Source organism: Homo sapiens, chromosome 6, assembly GCF_000001405.40.
Source record: "Homo sapiens chromosome 6, GRCh38.p14 Primary Assembly".
Taxonomy (NCBI): Eukaryota; Metazoa; Chordata; class Mammalia; order Primates; family Hominidae; genus Homo; species Homo sapiens.
Window position 1 is genome coordinate 67340515 of NC_000006.12, and position 12186 is coordinate 67352700.

General features: G+C 36.0%; 1 long non-coding RNA gene across 1 annotated transcript in view, besides 1 other annotated feature; it reads left to right on the forward strand.

Annotated features, from left to right (window-relative positions):
- Positions 1-11956, forward strand: part of LOC105377842 (uncharacterized) — a 51796-nt gene extending 39840 nt beyond the window's left edge. Inside the window, exon 6 of the long non-coding RNA XR_942658.3 lies at positions 11409-11956. This is a non-coding gene — a long non-coding RNA (uncharacterized LOC105377842). The remainder of the gene's footprint in view (positions 1-11408) is intronic.
- Positions 4901-6100: an enhancer, noted in NCBI's record as "MED14-independent group 3 enhancer chr6:68055308-68056507 (GRCh37/hg19 assembly coordinates)". NCBI's record gives its function as "activates an origin of replication core promoter dependent on BRD2, BRD4, P300/CBP and CDK7 cofactors, and independent of MED14, by STARR-seq in HCT116 cells {active_cell/tissue: HCT116}" and the evidence as "EXISTENCE:reporter gene assay evidence [ECO:0000049][PMID:35650434]".
- Positions 11957-12186: the final 230 nt, after the last annotated feature.

A 12186-nucleotide genomic window follows, 5' to 3' on the forward strand; every position in this document is an offset into this window, starting at 1 on the left:
GCCAGGAACAGAATTATACCACTGGCTTTCCCAGTTTACTAGGTTGAAGATGGAAGATCTTGGGACTTCTTGCACTCCATAATTGCTTGAGCCAATTTCTATTCTCCCTCTCTCTCTCTCTTTGTCTCTCTCTCTGTATATATATATGTATCTGTCCTGTTGATTCTCAGAATCATAGAGTAAGTATATTTTCAACTGTAAAAGAAACTTCCAACTATCTTTAAAAGTGACTGTAGTATTTTGCATTTCCACCAGCAATATAAGTTTCATTTGTTTAACGTTTTTTGCCAGAATGTGATATATCTGATATATATGTATAATATAAATATATATATATAATTTTTTTCTTTTTAAAAATTTAACTCCATGATGGTACCTCCTTATAGTTTTAATTGCTGTTTTCCTAGTAGCAAATGATGTTGAGTATATTTTCATATGCTTATTTATCCTCTATGTATCACCATTGGTGAAACAAATTTCACCCATTCTTTTTTTTTTTTTTTTTTTTTTTTTTTTTTGGACTGAGTCTCACTCTGTCACCAGGCTGGAGTGCAGTGGTTGCGTGATCTCGGCTCACTGCAATCTCCGACTCCCTGGTTCAAGCGATTCTCCTGCCTCAGCCTCCCGAATAGCTGGGATTACAGGCTTGCGCCACCATGCCCAGTTAATTTTTGTATTTTTAGTAGAAACAGGTTTCACCATGTTGTCCAGGGTAGTCTTGATCTCCTGACCTCGTAATTCACCCACCTTGGCCTCTGAAAGTGCTGGGATTACAGGCATGAGCCACCCCTCCCAGCCTTGCCCATTCTTAGTTGAGTTTTTATGCTCTTCTTACTGAGTTTTTAATAATTTAATAAATATTTAATAACGTTTTTATATATTAAGAATAAAGTATTCTGACAGAATTATGATATACAAATAATTTATCATATTTTGTGGCTTGTATTTGAATTATCTTAATGTTGCCTTTCACAGAAGAAAGTCATAAAATTTAATAAAATACAATTTATCTTCTTCTTTTACAGATTGTGTTTAAAAGTTTTATCAAAAAATATATTGCCTTAAAAAGTTCACAGAATTATTATCTTATTATTTCTTCTGGCAATTTTATAGCTTTAGATTTTTCTTTCTGGTCTATGTTTCATTATGTGTTAATATTTGTATCAGGTATCAGGTGTGATTTGAAGTTAAGTTGTTTTTCATGTGGACAGCCAATTGTTCCCACACAATTTCTTGAGAAGACTTTCCATTCTCCACAGAAATATCTTTGTGCTTTTGTAAAAAAATCAGTTGACCATATTTGTTTGGGTCTTCTTCCATGCTGTCGTTCGATCAACCTCCGTGTTTTTTATTTTGCTGCAGTTATACTCTCCTGGTAATGATTGTAATTTTGTAGTATGCCTTGAAATCAAATAATGTGAGTTTTTTATTTTTGCTCTTTAGTAGAATGGTTTTGCCTATTTACTAAGTTTAGAATCAACTTATCAATATCAAAAAAAAACCCACAATGATTTTTATTAGGAATATATTTTATCTATAAAACAATTTAGGAAGAGTAGTCATTATCACAATATTTAGTCTCCAGCCTCTCACTTTATTTTGGTCTATTTTGATCCTATTCCTTAGTGTTTTGTAGTTTTCAGCAAAGACATATTGTATTCACTTAGATTCATATCTAATCATTTTATTTTTGTTATCACTATATATTGTGCTATTTTTTATTTCATATGTTAATGATTCATTGGGAGTATATAAAGATATAATTGATTTTCATGCACTGACTTGGTATCCTCTTTAATTTTTTAACTCATTTATTGGTTATAATACCTTTTTTCATATACTGTTTAGTAGACATTCATATTGTTTATAATACAAATATCTTTTTAAATTTTTTAAATATGCAAGATTTTTCTAGAACTTCTATTACATTATTGAATAAGAGAGATAATAGAACTAAAGGGGGAAAGGCTCCAGTCATTTTTAGGTTCTATATGATGTTGAATAAAGTTAATCTTTTTGAGTTGTCTTTATTCCAACTTAAAATTTCTCCTATTATTTGTAGTTTGCTGAAAATATTTATCATTAGTAAACTTTGAATATTGGCAATGCCTTTTATACATCTGATTGATAAGGCTATAGAATTTCTTCTCTTCATTCTGTTAATATGGTGAGTTAAATTGATTGATTTTTGAATGTTGAACCAGCCTTGCATTTTTAGGATAGACTCCTCTTGGTAATGCTGTATTATTTATTTTATATGTTACTTAATGTGATTTGCTATTATGTTTTGAAGATGCTTGCATCTATTATTTTTTTCTTTTCTTGTGATATTTTGCTGTTTTATTAAATTCATCTTGGCCTTATAAAGTGAGTTGGACAATGTTCACTCATCTATGTTTTGAAAAAATTGGGTAGAATTGGTGTTGCTTCATTCTTAAAAAGTTGATATAATTCACCAATGAAATATTCTGGGCTTGGAGCTTCCCTTGTGAGAAAGTTTTTAACTAGTTGCAGTTTCTTCAATAGGCATACAACTGTTCATGTTATCCATATCAAACACATATTTTAGGCAGGAAGTGAAGAAAAAAGAAAAAAATAATGTGTCTTAGCTACCTGTCTCAATTTTAAGAAGCATTATCAGTAATCTAATGCAAACAATTCAACTTATATTGAGCAGAAATTAATTTCATGATCATGTCTCAAAACATGGGAGTCTGTGAAATGTAATATTTTAGCTTGACACATTGCCACAAATATAAGTGTTTGTTATTAGGAAGGAGTGAATAGTATTGCTGAGACAACTAGAATTTCCTCCCCCTCAATAATACAGTAATTCAGACAAGGCAGACTACTATATAGCGGTTCTGAAGTACCAATGAGTTAATCTTAATTAGATGTTCAGTAAAAGGAAATTTTAAAATGGGGAATGAGCTGAGAGTTAAAAAATACTTTGAGCATCATAATTACATTGTGGTAGTATGAGAGTGAATGAGAATGTTCAGACAGAAAATCTAGACCAATAAAATATAGTTAATGAAGCATTTTGTCTAAACAACAACCAAAGCTAATCCTGAGGCATACTGCAATAATTAATTTCTACTACATACTAGATAATTTCCAGTGGAAACCTCTTACGACTCCTGAAACATCCAAGATTATAAGTCACAGAGGACAAATTAGTATATGTAAAAAATGGATAGACTTTTTTTGAAGTTCTTATTTATAGTGCAGTAACTGTAATGTGGAAATCTAGAATGACACAATCTTTTATTCCTTTTTAGGCCCAATGTTCTCAAAATTTGACCATAGTATGCTATTATGTGGATCTTTTTAATTTATGTTGTTATACTATTGGGGGCATCTTCAATATTTTATTTTATTCTTATTTTTTATTTCTTCTGCTTATTTTATTTGGACATTATATTATTTCAATATTTTACCTCCCAGCATCTTCAGAATTGGTTTTCTACTATTTTCTATATTTCAATTTTTAATTTCTTTTCTATTTAGTTAAATTCTATTTTTATTTCAATTGCTTTGCTTTAGGGGTACAAGTATTTTTGGGTTACATGGATTAATTGTACAGTGGTGATGTCTAGGGTTTTAATGCATCTGTCAGCTGAATATTGTACATTGTACTCAAGATGCTTTTTTTGCATCCCTCACTCCCCCTCCTTCTCCCCACTGTGAATCTCCAATGTCTATTATACCACTCAGTACGCTTTTGTGTACTCATAGCTTAGCACTCACTTAAGTGAAAACACGTGGTATTAGATTTTTCATTCCTGAGTGACTTCACTTAGAATAATGGCCTCCAACTCCATCCAAGTTGCTACAAAAGGCATTATTTTATTCTTTTATTTTGGTTGGGCAGTATTCCATGGTGTGTGTGTGTGTGTGTGTGTGTGTGTGTGTGTGTGTATTTGTATATATAAAGATACAATTGATTTTCATGCACTGACTTGGTATCCTCCTTAATTTTTTAACTCACTTATTAGTTATAATACCTTTTCTTTTTTCACATTTTTATGCGTGTGCAGGTATCTTTTTAATATAATGAACTCTTTTCCTTTGGGTAGATATCCAGTAGCCAGATTGCTGGGTCAAATCGTAGATGCACTTTTAGTTCTTTGAGGAAGCTTCACGCTGTTTTTCACAGAGGTTGAATTAATTTATATTCCTACCAAATGTGTGTAAGTGTTAATTTTACTCCACATCCATGCCAAAATCTGTTATTTCTGTGACTTTTTAATAATAACCATTCCGATGTGTGAGAAGATATCTCATCATGGTTTTAATTCACATTTCTCTGATGATTAGTGATCTTCAGCATTGTTTTTTAGAGACATTCTACCCTTGGCTAATGGGGAGAGTAATGTTTCTTATATTTGAAAATATTATTTATATTACATAAATATGTTTCCTTTTCTTTTGCTCTATGTATTTCTGTGCTATATATTTGTTTATTTGTATTTTTGTCCCTGTTATTTTGTAAGATCTTTTGAAATTCTCAGTTAACCTTGTATAGTTTTTCTTACACATGGGTGAACCTTTGTCTGCTTATTCAGATTTTGTCAACTGGTGTGCATAATAAAGTGATCTAATGAGAATTCACCATTTTCAGTGAAGGATTCTCAAATACCAGAGTTGGAAATACATACTTCTCAGGCTTACTCATTTTTTTTTTTTTTACAGAAGAAATTCTCTCTTATTACTAAATGGGTTTGAGTCTGAAAGTCAGCATTGTAGAAGCTAATAAAAAAAGGAGGGCTGGTCTGGGTGCCGTGGCTCACGCCTATAATTCCAGCACTATGGGAAGCTGAGGTGGGCGGATCACAAGGTCAGGAGATCGAGACCATCATGGCTAACACGGTGAAACACTGTCTCTACTAAAAATACAAAAAATTAGCCAGGCGTGGTGGCGGGCGCCTGTAGTCCCAGCTACTTGGGAGGCTGAGGCAGGGGAATGGCGTGAACCCGGGAGGTGGAGCTTGCAGTGAGACAAGATCTCGCCACTGCACTCCAGCCTGGGCGAAAGAGCGAGACTCCATCTAAAAAAAAAAAAAAAAGACATTTCTTTATCTCTTTTGTCAGGACATGTTTTCCCAAAGTTTGAAATTTCTCCTGTTCAGATTTCACTAACAATAAACCTATCCTCTGTCACTGCAGAATAGGCAATCGCTAGGCTGTTTGACTTAGACAGAACATATTTGAGATCCAAATATGTCTTCCATGTCTTCAATAATTCTTCTACCAATTCTCCTCTATTTAGTCCCTTTCAATTACACACTTTTAAAGACACTGTTACCTAACATTGTTGAATTTTGTAGCACGAAGGTGTGTGCATATTTGTTGTACTTCTCTACTGTAGGCTACTGCAAGAAAAAAAGAAGCTTTAATTGTAAGTCAACTATCATTCATTCATCCATGGACCATCTTAAAGAATAACTTGGCATTCATCATTTGCTGTGGTCACTTTTAAATTCTTTTTGCTCAATCTATTTGTAAGGAAAATGGATGTACTGTGGTAAAGAATAGGTCAAGGCAGACATCCGGTCTAGCATGACTCTGCAAGTTTGGAGCACAGACGCACAACTCCACTCATTGTGTAACCATGCCACGTGAGGCACATTAGGTGATCACACACATGAGCTTGTGCTTGGCTCAGAGCCACTATTTTCTGTAAAGGTATAATTACCCTGCTAACACTGTACATACAGGTCGTGCCCAGGCTTGCACCCGGGCTTGCTTGCACTCAGAGAGAGAATAAAGCCATGTCTAAACTGTTTTCGATTCCTCGAGTGTTTTTCCACCTACCTGCCACTCACCCACCAACTCCCTTTGGGCCTCAGTTAGAACCTGACAATTGGTGTAACGAACAGGATCCCAGAGTGAGTGAGGCTTTGGTCCCCACTGATTCCAGGTTGGCCATGTGGCCGCAACAGGAGTTGTGGTACCTGCTGGCAGCTTTGCTGCTCTGATGGGCTCTGGTGGAAACCTGGGCGGTGGTGGATGGGTCACCCACAAGCATAGAGAAAGTATTGAGGCAACTGGAAGCACAGAGCAGTGAAAAGGAATGAACCTTTGCCGGTAGAGTTGGATGGGCACTTTTGAGTGCGCTAAGAGAAGTACACACCCAGTCCCTGAGGGATGTAGTCCAGGTAAGGGCCCTCCAGGCACATGTGGGGTGCCTGGAGGTCCGATTACAGGTTACACAGCTCAGAAAAGAAGTTAGAAACTTCCGTGAATGGGGATCTCCAGACGCAGGCGGGCCACCTAGAAGTTCAGCTACAGAGCTTGAAAAAGGAATTAGAGGATGCTGTGTATGCAGGCCTGGAAGCTCTGGGTGGGAATGAGGGGGTCTGTGCCATAAAGAAGGGGGTCCCCCACAAGAGAAAAGGGGGTCCCAATGAGTAACATGCTCACATATGTGATTTGATTTTGGCCGAGACTCACTGAGAGAAAATCGATAAACAGCCCAATGAAGTACTCCTAACTTTGTGGAGACAGTTGTCTACCGAGCAGCAATTCCAGAAAATGCCCAAGGGGAGAAAGACATTGCTGTGTGATCTGGTCCCGCCCAGGTTCTCTGGCTCAAAGACTATGTGCTGCAGCCAGGCGGGGGAGTAAAACCTTTTTCTGTTTGATGAGGGAACTGGCCGAGGTGCCTGGCTTTGGGAGGACACCAGACAAGTGGAGGCCGCATGTGAAATTAGCAACCCACTGGTCTCCCACCAATGTACAACAAGTTCTGGTGCTGGTAGACACCAGAACAGATGTATTCTGGGGGTGGACGTTTTACATGACTTGGCAGCTGTGCCATCTATCTTGGAATTGATGGACTTCTTGATGACAGAATTGGGACAGTACCACTATGTGATGAACAGGGCTAATGCAATTTTTTTTTTTTTATTAGAGAGGCAGGAACTATTTGCCTTCATGAGAGAGCAACAATGGACTTTCAGAATGTTGCCACATGGCTATATGAGTAGCCCCACCGTATGTCATGGTCTTGTTTATAATCTTATGTTAACCTCTGATTTGCTTTCAGATTTAGAAGCAGCGATGCTAGTTTGCCTGACATTGGGATAGTGCAGCTGAGACCACCTTCCTGGCAGTCAAGTGGGCTATTCAGCAGGCACAAGCCCTATGGGTAGTTGACCAGGGCACTCATTTGAGCTGGATGTGCATGTGACCACAGATGGTTTTGGTTGGGGCCTGTGGCAGCACACAGAGTGCTTGAGAATGCCAGTAGGCTTTTGGTGCCAACTGTGGAAGGGAGCTGAGCTCCAGTATTCTTTGACAGAGAAACAGCTAGCAGCTGTATATGCTGCTGTTCGGGCTTGTGAGAGTGTGACAGGATGGGCTGTAGTTGTCGTGTGGACAACTTACCTGATAGCTGGATGCGTGCATTTATGGGTAATGATCCTCCAGAGTGGGATGGTGCACATTCACTTTAGCAATGTGGGGCACCTACTTGGAGCAGTGGTGTACACTCAACACAAGCCCCTTAGCAGCAGAGTTGCAGGAAGTCTTGGGACCTGTAGTCCTAATGCAAGATAAGGCCTTGGGGCATAAGGCCATGGTGCCTGAGGCACTCCCCTGCCCCCCATTCCTGATGGGCATGGTATGCAGATTGGTCTAGCCAGCGTACTGCTGTTGCTTGGACTGCTGTCACAGTCCAGACTATTACTGACAACATATGGTTTGATACTGGTTGTGGACAAAGTAGTCAATGGGCTGAACTCAGAACAATATGAATAGTGATCATCAAGGAGGTGACACCTATGATAATCTGCACTGACAGCTGTGTTTATTGAGGCTAAGCCTTGTGGTTAATCACTTAGAAATTACAAAAGTGACTAGTTGGTCACCGGCCCATGTGGGGCCAGGGCATGTGGCAAGAACTGTAAGAGGAAGGATGACCTCCTCTGACCAGGTATGGGGCTGAACAGTAACTGGTTGCTGCCTGCCCCAGTGATCCTCAAGGTAGTGAAATAAAAACCTGGCTTAATGTACAAGGCCTATATGTCTGACCTTTGTGTCTGGGGTCTGTGTGCCCAGAACGTATGTATAAGGCCTATGTGTTAGACCTGTGTGTCCAAGTCCTATGTCTCCCTTGGCCTAAGGGGTGAGGTGTTAAGGAAATGGATGTGCTGTGGTCAAGAATAGGTCGAGGCAGACATTCAGTCCAGCATGACTGAGCGAGTTTGGAACGCAGGTGCACAACTCCCCTCATTTTGTAAACCATGCCACGTGAGGCACATTAGGTGATCACCCACATGAGCTCATGCTTGACTCAGAGCCATGATTGTGTATAAATGGTGTGTAAAAAGGATGTGTATAAAAGCAACGTTACCCTGCTAATGCTGGACATATGGCTTGTGCCTGGGCTTGCTCAACTCCAAGCTCACTCACACCCAGAAAAAAAATAAAGCCATGTAGAAACTGTCTACAATTCCTCGAGTGTTTTTCCAGCTACCCACCACTCACCCACCGACTCCCGTCGGACCTCAGTTTGAGCCTGACATTATTATACTGCTTTTATTCTGTTATAATCATAATAGTAAGATGTAGGTATGGAGTAGAAATAAACACATGCCATTGTTGAGATGTGTTCAATGTGTCTTTAATTGGTATTGCTTAATGTCATGTGTTATAAGGCATATCTTTCCATAAGGCAGCCCTAGAAATCCTTATCAAAACAAACTTAGGATTAGAAGGATCATAAGTATAACCCAATATGGCATTTCCTGTACTCTCATAGAGATATCATTAGGTAAAAAGATTTATGTTGCATCTAAGAACACAAAGCAGATGACAGGTGCTGCCAATAACTGATATGAGCATATTCAGTTAGCAAGCCAGGACTCAGAAACAGCTTTTCCAGTTATCCAGTCTCTGTTCCACAGATAAATAGAATAATAGATTAATTCTATCAATTTTTTTCCCACACCCCAGTGATTTGTGGAGAAAATTAAAGCATTTCAAAGTATTTTATTAAATTCAAATATTATCAGGAAAGTTAAAAGTTTGTTGTATCAATACTAATATGTAAGATAATTTTCTTATACTATAAAAAAGATACATATTGGAAAGGTATTTTGGTGTGTATAAAAGTTTTAAAATAATAATTATCTAGACGGATTAATAAGATAATAGTGCAAATATAAGGATATAACTTGCCTTATAAGTACATAGAAATTTCCTAAAAGATTCTATGTCAGAAGCTTAAACCATAGGGTAAATGATCCATTTTTATTTAAGTGTATTTGCTATCTATTTTACTTTTTCATCTATTTTATCTATTTCTTCTGAATATATGTATGGAAAGATATATAAATTATATCAAAAATATATGTGAAAAATTATACATCTATTGTCAGAATTCTTTTGTTGGATCTTAAACATGCATATAATTTCAACAAACGCAGAATAAAACACTTTTGGACAAAATTTCCCTGCTCAAATTACTCATATCTTCTCCAACTGAATTTATAAACTTGTAATATCAGTTTATCTTATACAACTCTCAAATCATACCCATGCATACTGCATTATACATCTCCATATTTGTTGATTCTCTGACCCACTTTTCATTTTCTTTCCTTAGCTGCCCCCCTAATTGAAGGTAATTCCTAGCTATAGTTGAAAATTTTCAAATGTGATTAATATGGAACAATTGTTTAATTATGTATTAATCCTTTTTTAAAAATTATTTGAACATTAGTCAATTAAGTTGACTTTTATGAGGACACATTAAAATTACTTAAATGATTTATTAATGAAAACACATTTTGTATCTGTTTTTGTTCTTACATTCTAAAATACTTGTTCTCCACATAAAGCTTCACTCTACTCTAATTTTCTTGTACAGACACATAGTGGCCAAGGATAGTCAAATAATGGAGGCTCTACCTGAAGACGAGAATACTGCCATTTTTGGTGCACATTCAAGTTATCTGCTGGATGGAAAGATGTATTCTTGTTTTGCTTGACTTTGCCTCACCGTGGTCATACTGCCTTTCTTTTTTGTGAAAGGCTGTTTCTCCAATATTTGAACTACTTAATGTATGAATTCAGTTTGGGATTTAGGAAAGCCTGCTAAATTTCAAACTTCCAGCTCACCCCATACATATATTAATTCATCCACTGCCACACTAACATAATAAATTCCATTCTTATCACTTTCTTTGCTGAAAATAAATGTGTGTAAGACTTCGGTATCTGATCTATAGACTTCTTCATAAAGAATTAAAAAAATCAGTAAATATATTGTCACAACAGTTCATCAAATGTATTGTCGTTACTTTTTCTATTTAGCTATTTCTCTTTAAACTCTAAGTTCATGAAGACAGAGAGCATGTCAGACTTTCCCAGGATCTTGTACTCAGCATGAGGCACAGTGCGTACCACAGAGTAGTCTATGGATAAATATTTATTGAGTGACTGATTGGATGAGTACATACTTTGTCTCATAAAAATTCTATACCCTCAACTTTCTTATTCACTTTGCGCTTTATGAGTATGCATTTCTCACTGTGTACTACACAGTCCATTTTCTGATCAGATTATTTAGCTGAGAATAAAGCTAAAATATAAGATATTATTTGCCTTATTTTTCATTACAATTGAATTTCTGCTATGCTCACATTAAAAGATATAACCAACAATAGATAATTAAGTTATGCACTAAATCTAAGAGGCAGTACACAATATTGTGAAAATACGAAGATTTATAATCCTCAGTGAAGTTTCCATGAAAAGCTTAATTCAGCTAATGTGATACAATTTAAACAACAGAAGAATTATATGAAAAGTGAAATATTTAAACAACAGTTCAGTACAAACAGAAAAAGGATAAAAATATGAAATATAAGAAGTTGTGCAGAAATTTGGAAAAAAAACTATATTTTATTATTTGATAAATTAGAAAAGTCTATAGAGAAGAAGAACTATGATCTGTCTTAAAGAATGGCTGAGAATTGTTTAGGATCATGGGACGAATAACAACATCAACACACTGCATATTTGGAACTTGAATCTCTCATTTATTTACCTTAATAAAAGTTTTATCAGATAGAATAAATTGCAGATACAATTTGGATTTAGAAACTTTTATACTTGGAAAAGGCTTTCTACCTATGACTTTCTTCTATCTAGCACATATTACTATTTTTATAAGTTTCATTTTGAAAGTCATGTCTATATGGAAACTCCACAAAAAGCTTCATTTAACCTTTCTCTAAGTAACCATCACATTATTATTCTTTGTTTATGTTATATTGGTATTTGACTGAGCATCGAATATGCCATTTTTGTTTTCTCTGCCTAAGTCCTGAACCAACTGAGAAAGAGATGTAAGGAATGAGACACATTCAGATCTACATATTAATTTTATTGTTTAGGTGGTTGATGAATAACAGTGAAACTAAGGCCGGTTGTGACATTGAACATCGAAATTGAGAGACTTCTGACCTAGTCACATGTCCCGCTAAGCAACACAGTTTTCCTAATCTGAGAGTGAACACTCACACAATTTATGACCTGGAGAAGCAGCCTCCAATGGACCTTCTGTCTAGGAAGTCAAATCTTGAAGAAAAAAAAAAGAAGAAATAAAAAATTGAGTTAAGTACATTTATTTTCTTTTTGAAATTTACCAATAACATAAATCAAATTTCTACTCAGAGTAAAAGTAAGTAGGAGGACAAATGGGGCTGAGAGCGTTATGCCAGTAGATAACTCTCCAAATAGAAGAGAACATTGTAAGTCGGGAGTAAAGAGTTTGGTAGTTTTTGTTTGTTTACTTGTTTGCTTGCTTTTGTTTCAAACTGAAACAGTATAAAGAGAAGGACATTTATTTTGATGTAAGAAAAATATGGATTCAGGTCTTGGCTCAACAGTTTTTTACTCAATATTTTATATTGGTATTCCCTAATAAATATTTTAAAATTGACCAACATTTCAGCTTTATTTTCTTCTATATAGTTTATTTGTATACTGTCTGTTGATTTCTTTTAAGCATTCAGTTAATTTAAATATAAGGCAATGTTTTATTTTCAATCTTACGTGAAAATAAACCATAGTATGTCCCCCCCCATTATGAACTAGGTTGAAATTGTTATTAGTGCTTGAACATATACCCTTCCTATTCTTTTTGTTCCAATTTCTCTTGCCCACATATGT